Consider the following 18,795-nt stretch of genomic DNA (forward strand, 5'->3'; position numbering starts at 1 on the left):
AAAAGCAAGGACAAAACCTAAAATCAGTAGAAGAAATAAAAAAAATCAAAGCAGAAATAAATAAAATTGAAATGAAGAAAATACAAAAGATCAATAAAACAGTAAATTGTTTTGAAGAGATAAACAAAACTGACAAACCTTTAGCCAGACTCAGAAAAAAAAGAGAAAACCCAAATAATAAAATGAGAGATGAAAAAGGAGACATTATAATTGTTACCACCGAAATTCAAAGGATCATTAGAGACTACTATGAGCATCTATATGCTGATACATTGGAAAACCTTGAAGAAATGGATAAATTCCTAGACACATACAACCTACCAAGACTGAACCACAAAGAAATCCAAAACCCAAATACAATAACAAGTAACGAGACCAATAACAAGTAACGAGATCAAAGCTATAAGAAATAGTCTCCCAGCAAAGAAAAGCCATGGACCTGATGGCTTCACTGCTGAATTCTACTAAACCTTTAAAGAAGAACTAATACCAATCCTACTCAAACTATTCCAACACAATACAGGAAGAGGGAATACTTCTAAACTCATTCTACAAGGCCACTATTACCCTATACAAAACCAAAGGACACATCAAAAAGGGAAAACTAGAAGCCAGTGTCTCTGAAGAACATTATGCAAAAATCCTCAATATAATACTAGCAAACCGAATTCAGTAACACATTAAAAAGATCATTCATCATGACTAAGTGGGATTCATCCCAGGGATGCAAGGATGGTTCGACATACGCAAATCAATAAACATGGTACATCTTAACAGAATAAAAGACAAAGACTAAAAAATATATATATATATTATTTATACTGTGTATGATATAAATATATATCACATGATATAAATATATAATTTATATCACATAAAATGCCACATCCCCTTATGATTAAAACCCTTGGCCGGGCGTGGTGGCTCACGCCTGTAATCCCAGCACTTTGGGAGGCTGAGACGGGCAGATCATGAGGTCAGGAGTTCGAGACCATCCTGGCTAACACGGTGAAACCCCGTCTCTACTAAAAATACAAAAAATTAGCCGGGCGTGTTAGCGGACACCTGTAGTCCCAGCTACTCGGGAGGCTGAGGCAGGAGAACGGCATGAACCCAGGAGGTGGAGCTTGCAGTGAGCCAACATTGCGCCACTGCACTCCAGCCTGGGTGACAGAGTGAGACTCCATCTCAAAAACAAACAAACAAAAAAACCCCAAAGAACTGGGTATAGAAGGAATATACCTCAACAAAACAGAAGCCATATATGACAGACCCATAACTAGTACCATACTGAAAAGGGAAAAACTGAAAGGCTTTCCTCTAAGATCTGGAACAAGACAAGGATGCCCACTTTCACCATTGTTATTCAACATAATACTCGGAAGTCCTAATTGGAGCAATCAGACAACAGAAAGAAATAAAAAGCATCCACACTGGAATGGAAGAAGTCAAATTATCCTTGTTTGCAGATAATATGATCTTACATTTGGAAAAACCTAGACTCCAAAAAAGAAAAACCTATTAGAACTGACAAACAAATTCAGTAAAATTGCAGGATACAAAAATCAACACACAAAAATCAGGAGCATTTTTATATTTAACAGCAAACAATCTGAAAAATTTTTTAAACGCAATCCCATTTACAATAGCTACAAATATAATAAAATACTTAGGAATAAACTTAACCAAATGAGTAAAAGATTTCTATAATGACAACTTTAAAACACTGAAATTGATGACACAGAAAAAACATGAAAAGAGATTCCATGTTTATGGATTAGAAGAATTAATATTGCTAAAATGTTGATAATACTCAAAGCAATCTACAGATTCAGTGCAATCCCTATCAAAATACCAATGACATTCCTCACAGAAGTAGACAAAAATAATTCTAAAATTTGTAGGGAACCACAAAAGGCCCAAAAGAGCAAAAGCCATACTGAGCAAAATGAACAAAACGGGAGGAATCATTATCTGACTTCAAATTATTGTAACCAAAATGGCATGGTACTGGCATAAAAAAAGATATAGATCAATGAAACAGAACAGAGAACTCAGAAATGAATCCATACGTCTAAGTGAACTCATTTTCCACAAAGAAGCCATGAACATACACTGGGGAAAGGACAGTCTCTTCAATAAATGGTGCTGGGAAAACTGGATATCCATATGCAGAAGAATGAAACCAGACCCCTGTGTCCCACCATATTAAAAAAAAATCAAATCAAAATGGACTAAAGATTTAAATCTAAGACCTCAAACTATGAAACTACTAAAAGAAAACATTAAACTCCCAGGGACATTACTCTGGGCAAAGATTTCTTGAGTAATACCCCAAAAGTACAGGCAACCAAAGCAAAGATGGACAAATGGGATCACATCAAGTTAAAAAGCTTCTGCACAGCAAAGGAAACCATCAACAAAGTGAAGAGACAGCCCACAGAATGGGAGAAAATATTTGCAAACTACTCATCTGACAAGGGATCAATAACCAGAATATAAAAGGCACTCAAGCAACTCCATAGGGAAAATTTTAGTAACTCAATTAAAAATGGGCAAAAGATCTGAATAGACATTTCTCAAAAGACGACATACAGGCTGGGCGCAGCAGCTCACGCCTGTAATCCTAGCACTTTGGGAGGCTGAGGCAGGTAAATCACCTGAGGTTAGGAGTTCAAGACCAGCCTGGGCAACAAGGAGAAATCCCGTCTCTACTAAAAATACAAAAATTAGGCAGACATGGTGGCAGGAGGCAGGAGAATTGCTTGAATCCGGGAGGTGTAGGGCGCAGTGAGCCAAGATCACACCACTACGCTCCAGCCTGGGCAACAAAGTGAGACTCTGTCTCAAAAACAAAACAAAACAAAAAAAAAAGGAAGACATACAAGGCCAGGTGCAGTGGCTCACAACTATAATTTCAGCATTTTGGGAAGCCAAGGTGGGAGGATTGCTTGAGCCCAGGAGTTCGAGACCAGCCTGGGCCAAACAGCAAGACCTCATCGTTATTTATGAATGGCAAACAGGTATATGAAAGGTATTCAATACTACTGATCACCAGAAAAATGGAAATTAAAACTACAACAAGATATCATCTCACCCCAGTTAAAATGGCTTTTATCCAAAAGACAGGCAATAACAAATGCTGGTAACGATGTGGATAAAGGGGAACCTTCACACACTGTTGGTGGACATGTAAATTGGTAAAACCACTATGGAGAACAGTATGGAAATTCCTCAAAAAACTAAAAATAGAGCTACCATATGATCCAGCAATTGCACTGCTAGGTATATACTCAGAAAGGAAATCAGTTTATTGAAGGAATATCTGCACTCCCATGTTTACTACGGCACTATATACACAACAGCCAAGATTTGGAATCAACCTACGTGTCCACTGACAGACAAATGGAGAAAGAAAATGTGGTATATATACACAATAGATTACCATTCAGCCATAAAAAAGAATGAGATCCTGTCATTTGCAGCAATGTAGATGGCACTGGAGGACATTATGTTAAGTAAAATAAGCCAGGGACAGAAAGATAAACTTTGCATATTCTTACTCGTTTGCAGGCACTAAAAATAAAAACAATTGAACACATGGAGATAGCAGAATGGTTACCAGAAGTTGGGAAGGGTAATGGGGAGAAGAAGGGAAATGAGGTGATTAGTGGGTGCAAAGAAAATTTAGAAAGAACGAATAAGAACTCTGCAGGACCGGAGGCAGAAATGAAAAAGATATTAAAATGATTTAAAATAATTTTAAAGGCCGGGCACGGTGGCTCACGCCTGCAACCCCAGCACTTTGGGAGGCTGTGGCAGCCGGATCACAAGGTCAAGAGATCAAGACCATCCCAGCCAACATAGTGAAACCCCGTCTCTACTAAAAATACAAAAATTAGCTGGGCGTGGTGGCACGTGCCTGTAGTTCCAGCTAGTCAGGAGGCTGAGGCAGGAGAATCACTTGAACCCTGGAGGCGGAGGTTGCAGTGAGTTGAGACTGCGCCACCGCACTCCAGCCTGGCGACAGAGTGAGACTCCGTCTAAAAATAAATAAATAAAATAAGTTTAAAATTTAAAAAGTTAAATAAAGAATGAATAAGATCTAGTATTTGACAACAAAGCAGGGTGACTACAGTCAGCATTAATTTGTTGTACTTTTTAGAATAACTGAGGGAGTACAATTGCAACGTTCATTACACAAAGAAATGATGAATGATGATGGTGATGGATACCCCATTTACCCTAATGTGATTATTACACATTATATGCCTTTATCTAAATATCTCACAGACCCTATGAATAATACGTCTACTATGTACCCATAAAAAAATAAAAACCTTTAAAGTAGACTGCAAAACCAAGGACCATCAAAAAGAACAGAAGACAAAGATATTAGCAAAATAAGTGATGAGGTTTTTAAGTTTGCAGACCAGAAAAAATAAAATGCTACCACTGGCTGAAGATGATTTAAGATGGCATCCTCTACAAAAGAAAGAAAACAGGAATGGCTGAAAAAAGGGGGAGCAAGTACAAGCAACAAAAACAGAACCTAAGCCACAGGTTAGGACAACGGACCTAAGCCACAGCCCCAGGTGGTGAGAAACAAGCTAAAGAGAAACCTACACAGCCAAAAAGGTTGCCTTAAAATTAGAGAGCCAAGATACCTCTTCAGCCTCAGTATAGGCAAACCAATTTCAATGGTTTCATTACCAAGGCTCTTGGTGTCATGGCAAACAGCATTATGCAACTCTGGCGCATCGCAAGCTTTACTGCATTACCAATATAGCTAAAGAGTCAAGTGGCTAAGGGCAAATGTTGACAGGGTATTTATGTGGGCACACTGGCAATTTAAGTCACGATGTAGGAACTTACTACTTAAACTTTCATTTGTTCACAAAAATCTTTAGTAGAGGCGATCCACATAACAGACCAACTATATATATTGCCAAGGACTTCGGAGTTTAATTATCATAAGAGTTCTTGAGTGAAGGCAAAAATCAGACTTTTGGTGTTGCTTTTTCTTACAATGTCAAACACATCTGCATTTCTTACTATGGGTTGGACACTTTTTTTTTTTTTTCCAAACAGGGTCTGACTCCGTTGCCCAGACTGGAGCGCAGTGGTGCAAGCTCACCTCACTGCAACCTCCATCTCCCAGGCTCAAGTGATTCTCCCACCTCAGCCTCCTGAGTAGCTGGTACTATTAGCATGTGCCACCACACCTGGCTAATGTGTGTATTTTTTTGTAGAAACAGGGTTTTACCATGTTACCCAGGTTGGTCTTTAATGCCTGAGCTCAAGCTATCCACCTGTCTCAGCCTCCCAAAGTGCTAAGATTCAGGCATGAGCCACTGTACCTGTCCAGACACTGTTCTAAACTATTTATAGACTTATTCATTTAGTCTTCACAACAGCCCTATTTGATGTAGATACTATTATTGCCATCTTACAAATAGCAAGTCCACTAGTTGGTATCTGAATATAGCACTCTGCTGTATTGGAATATATTGTTCTAATGCTATATTGCTATATATGGAATATAGCACTCTGCTGTATTTCCTCTCTGCACTATACTAAATCTAATGGAAAACTTAAGTTCTTTTTTTTTCTTTTTTTTGGAGACGGAGTTTCGCTCTTATTGCCCAGGCTGGAGTGCAGCGGCACGATCTTAACTCATGGCAACCACCGCCTCCCGGGTTCAAGCATTTCTCCTGCCTCAGTCTTGCGAGTAGCTGGGATTACAGGCACCTGCCACCACGCCTGGCTAATTTTTTGTATTTTTAGTAGAGATGGGGTTTCATCATGTCGGCCAGGCTGGTCTGGAACTCCTGACCTCAGCTGATCCATCCACCTCAGCCTCCCAAAGTGCTGGGATTACAGGAGTGAGCCATCATGCCCAGCAGAAAACTGAAATTCTTATGTGACTCCACATGAAATGGTACAATGACACCATTGTACATACTCTGTACAATACTGGGTCATCTATATTTTGCTAGTAAGAATGAACATGTATTGAATACATACCATGTGCTAGGCACTATGCTAAACACTTTATAGGCAATATCTCATCGAGCTCTCACAGGAACACTATGAAGCAGGTTCTAAAATTAACCCATTTTGGCTTGGGGGAAGTAGATAGCATGCCACAATGTTACGCACATGATGTATAGAGGCCAACATTCAAACCTAGGTCCATTTACCTCTAAAACCCACATTATTAACCCAAAACAGATCAAATTACTAGCAATTCTTACACAAATAAAGCTATCAGCACTCTGCATATGGCTCAAAAGGGAAGGAACAACAAACACACAAGGTATTTCTATTTCTGCCTAAATGAAGGACTACAGATATTTGTGAACAAATGCAGTTTGGGGCTATGAGCATGTCATGAAGTTAGCTCTAATGAATCACTGACTGACAGTGCAGCATGCACTATGCATTAGTTACTATTCAAAGCACTGCTAGAAGCTTAAACACCAGATGGTCAGCCCTCTTACTTACTAGCCATGTGAGTTTGGGCAGATTACTTAACTTCTCTTTGCCCAAGCTGCCTAATATACACAGTGCAGATACAAACAGAACTTGCTTGACAGAGATGTTAGACAAGATTTAACATACAAGCATGAAGAACAGCATCTGGTACACAGGAAATACGCAATAAAACATAAGAGAATAACATTATATTATCTGAAGAGAACAATTAGAAAGTTCACTCTTTTATTTTTTTTTAATTAAAATTTAAGTTCTGGGACACATATTTTTTTTTTCCACTCTCTTTTTTTTTCTTTGAGACAGATTCTCGCTCTGTCGCCCACTGATGCAATCTCGGATCACTGCAACCTCCACCTCCTGGATTCAAGTGATTCTCCTGCCTCAGCCTCCTGAGTAGCTGGGATTACAGGCATGTGCCACCATGCCCGGCTAATTTATATATTTTTAATAAAGATAGGGTTTCGCCATGTTATCCAGGCTGGTCTCAAACTCCTGACCTCAAGTGATCCACCCGCCTCAGCCTCCCAAAGTGTTAGGATTATAGGTATCAGCCACCGTGCCCGGCCCACTCTCATTTTTTAAAAACCACTTCTTTTCTTCCTGGTATGCCCCTATGGATCAAGGAGTTATTAGTAAGAGGCTAAATAATACATTTGGTTATTCAGGCACCTAAAAGTAGTAAGACTAAAACTCCTAAAGAGATAAGACTTTTTATGTTGCTCCTTCTTGGAATTTAAGTCAAGCATTAATGAAGGTTTACAGAAAGTTGTGCTGATAGCTAAAATGTTTTCTGCTAACTGAAAAAGTACAGCCTTTTAAAATACAGTAACTCTAATCAAGACAGTATGGTACTGCCATAAGGATAAGACATAGAGATTCAGTGGAGGACAATTCAGAGTCCAGTAATAAACTTTCACATTTGTAGTCAACAGACTTCCAACAAGCATGTGAAGATAATTCAATGGAGGAAAGAATAGTCTTTTTTTTGAGATGGAGTCTCACTCTGTCGCCCACACTGGAGTGCATGATCTCAGCTCACTGCAACCTCTACCTCCTGGGTTCAAGCGAATCTCCTGCCTCAGCCACTACAGTAGTGGGACTAGACTACAGGTGTGCGCCACCACACCCAGGTAATTTTTGTATTTTTAGTAGACATGCGGTTTCACCATTTGGTCAGACTGGTTTCGAACTCCTGACCTCATGTGATCTGCCTGCTTGGGACTCCCAAAGTGCTGGGATTACAGGCGTTGAGAGCCACTGTGCCTGGCCAAGAATAGTCTTTTTAACAGATGGTGCTGGGACAACTAATACCTACATACGGAAGAATGAATCTGAACTTACACAGTAAAAATGGTTATAAGTGTATGGTTATGTGTCAATTAGAAATAAAAAATTAATATAAAGAATGAATTTGAACCCCACCTTATGCTATATTAAATAACTGCTCAAAATGGGCTGAGCACCAAGTCACTCTCCTATGACCTTTTTTAATTTTTTAATAACAATTTGTTTCACTTAAAAAAAATCAAATGTTATTCTCATAATATTGTTATAGGAAAGGGGTCCCGATCCAGACCCCCAGAGAGGGCTCTTGGATCTTGCACAAGAAAGAATTCAGGGCGAGTCCGCAGTGCAAGGTGAAAGCAATTTTTCACTTTGGGAGGCTGAGGTGGGCGTGTCACTTGAGTCCAAGTGTTTGAGACCAGCCTGGGCAACATGGCGAAATTCTGTCTCTACAAAAAAATACAAAAGTTATTAATAGCAAGGTGTGGTGGTGCACACCTGTAGTACCAGCTACTCATTTGAGCCCAGGAGGCTGAGGCTGCTGTGAGCCAAGATTGCACCACTGCCCTCCAGCCTAAGCAAAAGAGCGAGATTCTGTGTCAAAAGAAAAAAAAAGTTGCTCCAAATGGATCACACCTCTAAATGTAATTCTTAAAAAAACCCAGAAGAGTAATAAACCTTAATGATTGATGAAACAGTATTTTCTTAGATACGACACCAAAAGCTTACTTCAAAATCAGATAAATTGGACTTCATCAAAATTAAAAATTTTTGTGCTTCAAGGGATGAAAAAGTAAAAAGACAACCAACAGAACAGGAGAAAACATTTGCAAACCATGTATCTAACAGGGACTTGTACACACAATATATAAAGAACTCCCACAACCCAATAATAAAAAGACAACTCAATTTTTAAAATGGGTAAAGATTTGAACAGACATCAATCCAAAGAAGATATATAAATGGCCAATAAACACAAAAGATGTTCAACATCATTAGCCATGAAAGAACTGCACATTAAAGCCACAATGAGGTTAACACTTCACACCCACAAGGATGACTATAATCAAAAAAGACAAGACAATAAGTGTTAGCAAGGATGTGGAGAAACAGAAACCCTCATACCCTGCTGGTGGGAATGTAAAATAGTGTAGATATCTTGGCAAATAGCTTGGTAGTTCCTCAAAAGGTTAAACACAGTTGCCATATGACCCAGCAATTCAACTCCTAGGTAGGTACACAAAAGAAATGAAAAGATAGGACGAGAAAAAAACTGCACACTCATGTTTGTGGCAGTGTTATTCAGAATAGTCAAACAGTGAGAACACCACAAATAGCTACAAACTGATTAATGGATAAACAAAATGTGGTATTATCCACATCAAGGAATATTAGTCAGTCACAAAAAGAAATGAAGTACTGAAACATGCTCCAACATGGATGAACTTTTATAACACTACTCTGAGTGAAAGAAGCCAGTCATAAAAGCCACATATTTTATTATTCCATTTGTATGAAATGGAATTTGCCCCAAATAAGCCCATCCATAGAGACAGAAAGTAGATTAACGGTTGCTTAGGGTTGGGAGTAGGGGAAAGAGAAGGGCTGGAGGCAAATGTGGAACGACTGCTAAACTGGGCACGGGGTTTCTTTTGGGGGTGAAGAGTATGTTTTAAAATCAACTGAGAAGACGGTTGTACAACATTGTGAATATTTTAAAAACCACTGATTTATACACTTTAAATGGTTGATTTATATATGTAAATTATATCTCATTAAAAACCACTGATTTATACACTTTAAACGGTTTATTTATATATGTAAATTATATCTCAATAAAGCTGTTATAAAAACATGCTAATTCACATGCTTCAAAGTAGAAATGTTTTTTCTTCATGAGATATTAAATTCAATCCAAGTGTAGTATAAGAGGAGACTGAATGATGTTAAAAAAAATAATGCTGAGGAAAAAATTCAAATGGGGAAGAATACCTACAGCAAGACATCATTGTCCCTCTCCCTCTCCCCCCCTCCCCCTCCCCCTCCTTCTCCTTCTCCCCACGGTCTCCCTCTCCCTCTCTTTCCACGGTCTCCCTCTGATGCCGAGCCGAAGCTAGACTGTACTGCTGCCATCTCGGCTCACTGCAACCTCCCTGCCTGATTCTCCTGCCTCAGCCTGCCTAGTGCCTGTGATTGCAGGCCCGCGCCGCCACGCCTGACTGGTTTTCGTATTTTTTTGGTGGAGACGGGGTTTCGCTGTGTTGGCCGGGCTGGTCTCCAGCTCCTAACCGCGAGTGATCTGCCAGCCTCGGCCTCCCGAGGTGCCGGGATTGCAGACGGAGTCTCGTTCACTCAGTGCTCAATGGTGCCCAGGCTGGAGTGCAGTGGCGTGATCTCGGCTCGCTACAACCTCCACCTCCCAGCCACCTGCCTTGGCCTCCCAAAGTGCCGAGATTGCAGCCTCTGCCCGGCCGCCACCCCGTCTGGGAAGTGAGGAGCGTCTCTGCCTGGCCACCCATCGTCTGGGATGTGAGGAGCCCCTCTGCCCGGCTGCCCAGTCTGGGAAGTGAGGAGCACCTCTTCCCGGCCGCCATCCCGTCTAGGAAGTGAGGAGCGTCTCTGCCCGGCCACCCGTCGTCTGAGATGTGGGGAGCGCCTCTGCCCCGCTGCCCCGTCTGGGATGTGAGGAGCGCCTCTGCCCGGCCGCGACCCCGTCTGGGAGGTGAGGAGCGTCTCTGCCTGGCCGCCCCGTCTGAGAAGTGAGGAGCCCCTCTGCCCGGCAGCCGCCCCGTCTGAGAAGTGAGAAGCCCCTCCGCCTGGCAGCCACCCCGTCTGGGAAGTGAGGAGCATCTCCACCCGGCAGCCAACCCGTCCGGGAGGGAGGTGGGGGTCAGCCCCCGCCCGGCCAGCCGCCCCATCCGGGAGGGAGGTGGGGGGTCAGCCCCCGCCCAGCCAGCCGCCCCGTCCGGGAGGTGGGGGGCACCTCTGCCCGGCCGCCCCTTCTGGGAAGTGAGGAGCCCCTCTGCCCGGCCACCACCCCGTCTGGGAGGTGTACCCAACAGCTTATTGAGAACGGGCCATGATGACAATGGCGGCTTTGTGGAATAGAAAAGGGGGAAAGGTGGGGAAAAGATTGAGAAATCGGATGGTTGCTGCGTCTGTGGAGAAAGAAGTAGACATGGTAGACTTTTCATTTTGTTCTGTACTAAGAAAGATTCTTCTGCCTTGGGATCCTGTTGATCTATGACCTTACCCCCAACCCTGTGCTCTCTGAAACATGTGCTGTGTCACTCAGGGTTAAATGGATTAAGGGCGGTGCAAGATGTGCTTTGTTAAACAGATGCTTGAAGGCAGCATGCTCGTTAAGAGTCATCACCACTCCCTAATCTCAAGTACCCAGGGACACAAACACTGCGGAAGGCCGCAGGGTCCTCTGCCTAGGAAAACCAGAGACCTTTGTTCACTTTTTATCTGCTGACCTTCCCTCCACTATTGTCCTATGACCCTGCCAAATCCCCCTCTGCGAGAAACACCCAAGAATGATCAATTAAAAAAAAAAAAAAGACTTTATAGCAAATTTAAGATTATGCAAAATATCATCTATTGCTCACAGATATATTCATATGCAGTATAAATATAAAGAACTGCACAGAAAAGAAACCCTTCCTTTTGGAAGGAAACAGGGGGAAGCAGCTGAGGAGGGGCAGATACATAAGAGGAGTTTAACTGTGTTAGAATGCTTTATTTACTAAGCTGGGTAGTGGGCACATGATCATATTCAATATTCTTTGTATCATTTGTATGTGTTAACTATTGTTTAACAAATTGAAAAACTTTTTTTTTTTTTTTTTTTTTTTGAGATGCAGTCTTGCTCTGTCGCCCAGGATGGAGTGGAGTGGTGTGATCTCGGCTCACTGCAACCTCTGTCTCCTGGGTTCAAGCGATTATCCTGCCTCAGCCTGCCAAGTAGCTGGGATTACAAGTGTGCGCCACCATGCCTAGCTAATTTTTCTATTTTTGGTCAAGACAGGGTTTCACCATGTTGACCAGGCTGGTCTCGAACTCCTGACCTTAGGTGATCTGCCCACCTCGGCCTCCCAAAGTGCTAGGATTACAGGTGTGAGCCACCGTGCCCGCCAACAAATGAAAACTTAGGTTAACAACTGTTAATAGCATTAAAGCTGAATAGATACATGTGCTAAAGTATGAAATAATAAGTAGTATTTTGAATGTTACCAATAAGTCAAGAATGAAGCTATTGTTAACATTTAGAAAGCTAAAACACAGGCTGAGGAAAGGCTACCTTTGCCTTTGGTTCACTCATCCTTTAATTCAGCTACTTTTTTTAAAAGGCTGGTATTTAGATTTTCCTTTCTAAGAAGCTAAGTTTCAAGAAGATTTATTGGTTGGTCTCAAAATCTACCTCGATACCTATAGTAAATAACATGCAAAAGAATGAAATGACAATCAAGGAGAGATGTTAAGTAAAGCCTGTGCTAAGACAGAGAAATAATGTTACAGAAAGATTTTGACCACAATATATTTGTGTACAAAGTATAAATCTCCAACTACCTCAGAACACCAGAGTCCAGTACATCTTCCATTTGCCACACTAGATTATTAATGACTTGGCCTTGCTCTACTAATATCTAGCTTCACTGAACAAAGTACAAATGACCATCAAATAGTAAGCTGTGCTATGGTGGTTTCAAATGTCAGGGCTATACTCTCATTTGATACCTACATATTGTTGTTACCAAATCTCATGATTTTAGTTATCCCACTTAAAGGATAGGCAAAGACCACTTTAAAAATGTTCTGCTTTCTACATATATGGTTTGATGTTTCTGACTGTATACATAACGCATTTTTATAAATAGATAAATCTTTAGTAATGCTTATTTTCTAAAACTCAAATTCATCAGTTAGTACAATACTTACCCTAAAATCATTCTTAAATTTCTTTAAATCATCAATCTGTTTTCTATGTTCAGAAACAACTGGTGATATACCTGTAAAATTAAGAACTGTTAAGACACAGGTTTATTTTTAAACTTTAACATCACATTCTTTTTAGTATGAGATGATAGAAATTAGAATAAGATATAAGATCAGAAAATAATTTCAAATATTAAATTTGGATTTTGGAATTTGTCAAGCAATACATTTATCTATCACAATAGTAAGAAGAAATGTTGAACAAAAATATTCTGTATGGGCATGAAATTAGACATACTTCTTCCTATTCCTACAGTTAAGCTTAATGACTCTTTAAACTCTAACCTTTGTTTTCAGCTTTTGAGAAGCTAGGTGATGTTTCATTGGGTTTAATATTTTCTTTATTCCCTGCAGGAGAGTTCTGCCTCTGATCTTGAAGCCTGGAATCTTTAGCTAGAAAACAATTTTTTAAAAAAAATTCAGATAAGTTAGAAAAGCAAAACAAGAAAACACTGAACAATAATTTTGATTTCCTATGTTTTTGGAAAATAATGCTTTCATTTAAACAGAGGCTTTTTTTCCTTTGCAGATGTCATATGAAACACCAATAATTTTATTTATGTAGGTATTTGACACCCAGGAATGTTAACCTTTGTAACACAGACACTATATTAAATTAGTAGTATTAAACAACATCAAAATTTACATAAACTTTTAAATGTGCACTAAAAATACTTGTCTATGAATAAAAATAACCTAGAATTTTTTCATATAATATCACCCTCTAACATTCAATTTCACAGCTGAGATTATGGATCCAGAAGCCCTTTGTTACATACCCTCACTAGAAGGGGTAACAGCTCTGTTCGATGCAGGACTAGCAGGCGTAGGAGATGCAGCTGGAATAGGCATGGCAACAGCTTCAGTTGGAATAATACCAGCTTGGGGAGAAGCAAGAACTGGCCCACTGGGGGTATTTCCAATACTGTTCTGTCTGGGAGACCTGGGTCTATGAGTTTTAGGGGATAATCTTGGAACTAGAAGAAAGGGAAAATGTATTTATTACATTCTCAGTTCAAATGTTACTTCCTAAAAGAGGCTTCAGGCTTCTCTGAAGATCTAGGTAAATAAAACTGTCCTCTCTAGCCCTTACCCTTTATCCCATTACTGTTTTCTTTTCCAAAATGTTAGGAATTTGCTGGCAATCAAAACCACAAGTATATGAAGAACAGCAGCAATTACTAACATAAGTATGATTTTCTCTCCTAACTAAATGTATCAAGTGATTCTCCTGCCTCAGCCTCTGGAGTAGCTGGGATTAAAGGCACTCGCCACCACAACCAGCTAATTTTTTTGTATTTTTAGTAGAGACGGGGTTTCACCATGCTGGCCAGGCTGGTCTCAAACTCCTGACCTCAGGTGATCTGCCTACCTTGGCCTCCCAAAGTGCTGGGATTACAGGCATGAGCCACCATGCCCAGCCCTACACATTCTTTATAGCAACATCAAGGTCCACTGTGCAGTAATTAAGGAAACTTGAGACCCAAGTTAGTCAAAAGGGGAAGATAATAAAAGCAGGGTTTGTATCCCATATGACTTCCAAGTATATATCTAATAGGTTTCATATACCATTATAAACCTAACTGCAGAGCTCAGATTCAAAGGTTTAGAGAAAATGGTTCGATTATTTCATTTCAGTGTTTTTTTTTTTTTAAGTCACAAGGGTCACGGAAGAAAACTATTATTCAACAACTGCCATTTTTCCAATTAGTAAAAAGAGAAAATCTATAATGCTATTCTGAGTGTATCTCCAAAACTATGCTTATACTCTCTCACTTCTAATCATGTTATTCTCAAAATTTATTTCCAGACCATCTAAGTAATGTCAAAAGATTAACAGAATAGCTGAAGCAGATTTTTTTTTTTTTTTTTGAAATGGAGTCTCACTCTATAGCCCAGGCTGGAGTGCAGTGGCGCGATCTCCGCTCACCGCAACCTACACCTCCCGGGTCCTGGTTCAAGCAATTCTCCTGCCTCAGCCTCCTGAGCAGCTGGGATTACAAGAACGCGCCACAATGCCCAGCTAATTTTTGTATTTTTAGTAGAGACGACGTTTCACCATGTTGGCCAGGCTGGTGTTGAACTCCTGACCTCGTGATCCACCCGCCTCAGCCTCCCCAAGTGCTGGGATTACAGCCGTGAGCCACTGCGCCTGACCGGCTGAAGAAGATTTTTAAAATTTTTGTTTTCTTGGTAGTCTTAAGATAATTGAAGACCAAGGAAGAAAATAAAAAGTACAAAGGAATTTAGGATACAATTACATGAATGTGCATCACATGAAGCTGAGCAGAAATGTATAGCAACTAAAAACAGATTTAACACAGCTGAGTTTTGTTTTTGTTTCCTTAAGCTTGAAGATCTTGTTTCTTTTTTCTTTTTTTTGAGATAGAGTTTCGCTCTTGTCACCCAGACTGGAGTGCAATGGTGTGATCTTGGCTCACTGCAACCTTCACCTCCTGGGTTCAAATGATTCTCCTGCCTCAGCCTCTCAAATAGCCACCACACTCAGCTAATTTTGTATTTTTAGTAGAGATGGGGTTTCATCATGTTGGTCAGGCCAGTCTTGAACTCCTGACCTCAAGTGATCCACCCACCTCAGCCTCCCAAAGTGCTGGGATTACAGGCATGAGCCACAGCAACTGGCCGATCTTGTTTCTTTTAAAGGTTCTCTGGACTGATTAAAAGAGAAAAAGTGTTTTTTTTGTTTGTTTGTTTGTTTGTTTTAAGTATTCTTTGTAAGCTCTTGCTTACCACAGTTATGGGAACAAAGCACTAAGGACTGATTGGCAAAGTAGCAAAAGCAGTCAGCCTTATTGTAAAATCATGTCAACGTCTAGTTTTTAAACTTTTTTTTTTTTTTTTTTTTTGAGACAGAGTCTTGCTCTGTTGCCCATGCTGGAGTGCAATGGCGTGATCTCAGCTAACTGCAAGCTCCGCTTCCCGAGTTCATGCCATTCTCCTGCCTCAGCCTCCCAAGTAGCTGGGACTACAGGCACCCGCCACCATGCCCGGCTAATTTTTTTTGTACTTTTAGTAGGGACGGGGTTTCACCGTGTTAGCCAGGATGGTCTCGATCTCCTGACCTTGTGATCCGCCCACCTCAGCCTCCCAAAGTGCTGGGATTACAGGCGTGAGCCACCACACCCAGCCTAATTTTTATACTTTTATAGCTGCTGTCAGCATATTCCTTATGCTAATCACAAATAAAACTTGGACCCTTTATTTGTATTTGATATTCCTTATTATGGAAATATAGTTGGGAATTAGTGCCATATACAGATGCTATAGAAACACACTACAATGTAAGCCAAAAATAAATGTTTATAGAATGTACTGATAAACAAAGCTGCTAAAAAGATAAGGAAATACGGTCCCTCCAAATAGTGTTACATACTGTGTTTGCCTCATATTAGAGAGGTACTTTACAAAACTTTATAGTTTTACAATATATCTGTATTTATGAACCTTATAGGAATCTCATCACAATCCCATAATGTAGACTAGGCAAGAATTATTAACACTTTACTCACTGCGAAATCTCAACTTCAGAATGAGTGTCTGACTTGCTTTAATATATGATGAATAAGTGGTAGAGCCCAGAATAAAAATATGGGTTTCCCAATTCCTGGTGATTCTACTATTTTTAACATATACATACTTACACTTCCTCAAACAGAGTTGTAGCTCAGCCCTCTTTATATCTAGTGTAATGACAAAATGAGTACCATCATTATGCCCAAGTGTTACCTACCCCCACTGACCACTGATGACCACGTTCCCCCCGAGGGACTGGTCCTTGCTACTGGAGGAGTAGCTGCTTCACTGGGTGGGTTGTGGGATACAAATTCTAGGCCACTGGATATGGAACCCCTCCCAGCAGAAACTCTGTGATTTCGAGGATGTCGCTGGGCCTTTGGGGACATCCTTGGAGGCCCTAAGGAAGAAACAGTGAACATCACATAAATTCCATGATATTCATCAGTACTACTTTTCTGCTAAATACACCCATTCACACACACATGCACACACACTCACTCACTCTACAGTTTTTCCTTGGTTAAAAATAGAAAAAAAAAAAACACCATACATATTTTTTTGGCCATACTAATTCTTTCAGAATTATTTTGTGGAATGCCACAAAGTTTTATAAATAAATTTTATTATTTCCCTTTATTTTTAAAGAAAGGGAGGGATGAAGTTGGTGGTAAGAAATCAACAATAAGATGTCAACTCTTAAAAGAACTGTAGCAATCTGTTTCAACTATGTCTTATTTGTAAAGAAATATGTTACTAGAAATTATGACTACATGATAAAATATTTTTAACTTTCCATATATTTTACCTTTCCCTGACCCGAATTTTCTACATTACTTCTAAAATTAGAAAAAAAAAATTTAAACAGAAGACTATTAATCCCTATACACCCCGATACCACTAAAACATATGTACATACCCTTCTTAAATTTCTCTAAAATTTTAGTTTATTTATCTCTTCTATCATGATCATCAATTTTAAAACTCGGCTTAAAACAGTAAGCAGTAACCTGTAAGCAGTTTCTTAGGCTTAGCAGGCTGTGAGCTGAAAATTCTATTAAAGGGATGACTTGTATTAGTCTATTAATAGATGACCAAAATAACTGACATTTGGGGGAGAAATCAGCACTATATGAATTGTCAAAATTCTACATTATTGATTCTGCCATGCCACTAGTGACTACTCTTTCTAAATCAGTCTACTGTGCATTAGACCAATCTATCAGGTAAAAGAGTGGACAGAATGGCCCTCATCAGAGAAGCCTACTGGTGTTAACACCAAGCGAAAACTTCCCTAATGTCAAAGCCAAATCTCCTCACTCTCTCACCCGGCTGCCAAACTCTTTAGAACTTCAAATTAATATATGTTGCCAATAGAATTATTATTTTATTTTTATTTTTATAAGACAGAGTCTGTCTCTGTCGCCCAGGCTGGAGTGCAGTGGTACGATCTCAACTCACTGCAACCTCTGCCTCCCAGGTTCAAGTGATTCTCCTGCCTCAGCCTCCCAAGTAGCTGGGTATTTTTAGTAGAGACGAGGTTTCACCATGTTGGCCAGGCTGGTCTCAAACTCCTGACCTCAAGTGATCCACCTGCCTCAGCCTCCCAAAGTGCTGAGATTACAGGCGTTAGCCACCATGCCTGGCTTCCAACAGGAATTTAAACACGAACATGATCTTTAGAAGAATGCTAATGTTATACACTATAATTTTCAAATGGAAATATTCAACATCTCTGAATGACACAGAAAGTATATTTCTGTGTGAAGTTAATACATGAGCAGTCCTTAAATCTTAATGTAATAAAGATGTTCACAGTCATTAATGATCATGTTTTATTTAATATATTCTCATTAAATAAACATCGCTTACTCAAATGATGGACTACAAGAAAAATATCAACAGAATTTTGCATTTAGTGACCACTATTAAGGCCCTTTTGAGCAAAGAAGTCACCTTGAAAATCAGTGGAACTTGCTCTTCAAGGTTAGATGCTTCAGTCAAAGTCATATGACCTGCCTGCTTAGATGGTAACAATTTATTTAAAAGTAGCCAATACAGTTTTCTCCAGGGAAGCAGGAGAAACACATTTTGTGCGGAAAACTTTATTAGTCCCAACATAAGCAATATTAACTAATTTTAATGAACAAATCAGATTAAAATTTTAACACAAATATTCAGAACTAGTATCAAAAGGACATTATGATTCAGAAAACAGGTTTTTAATATATGGGTGGCATTTAAATTAGAATGTTACCTTTCTACAACATATCCCTGTATTTGATATGTGGCAATGATGGATTTAGCGCCAAATACTGAATAAGAATTACAAGATTTTATTCTTATTTTTGACGAGGAAAGAAATAGCTAAATATTCAAATTCATATGTCGTTTTTATCAATTTTATCTCAGATCAAGGACTTCTTCCAGATTAAAGCAGCCTTTCACTATGTAAGATTGCAAAGCTAACTTTAAAAAAAT

General features: G+C 39.8%; 1 protein-coding gene across 5 annotated transcripts in view; it reads right to left on the reverse strand.

The window, feature by feature from the left end:
• The window catches only part of ATXN2 (ataxin 2), a 147,460-nt gene that overhangs the window by 44,612 nt on the left and 84,053 nt on the right, over positions 1-18,795 (reverse strand). For all 5 annotated transcript variants that reach the window (NR_132311.2, NM_001310123.1, NM_001310121.1 and 2 more), the window contains 4 exons: positions 16,532-16,714; positions 13,560-13,757; positions 13,066-13,173; positions 12,724-12,794 (listed from right to left, as the gene is read on the reverse strand). Coding sequence is in view for 4 of the 5 variants with exons in the window: in NM_001310123.1 (NP_001297052.1) it covers positions 12,724-12,794; positions 13,066-13,173; positions 13,560-13,757; positions 16,532-16,714 (560 nt within the window). In the remaining variant the exon portion in view is untranslated. The remainder of the gene's footprint in view (positions 1-12,723; positions 12,795-13,065; positions 13,174-13,559; positions 13,758-16,531; positions 16,715-18,795) is intronic.

The sequence above is a fragment of the Homo sapiens genome, chromosome 12, assembly GCF_000001405.40.
Source record: "Homo sapiens chromosome 12, GRCh38.p14 Primary Assembly".
Lineage (NCBI taxonomy): Eukaryota > Metazoa > Chordata > Mammalia > Primates > Hominidae > Homo > Homo sapiens.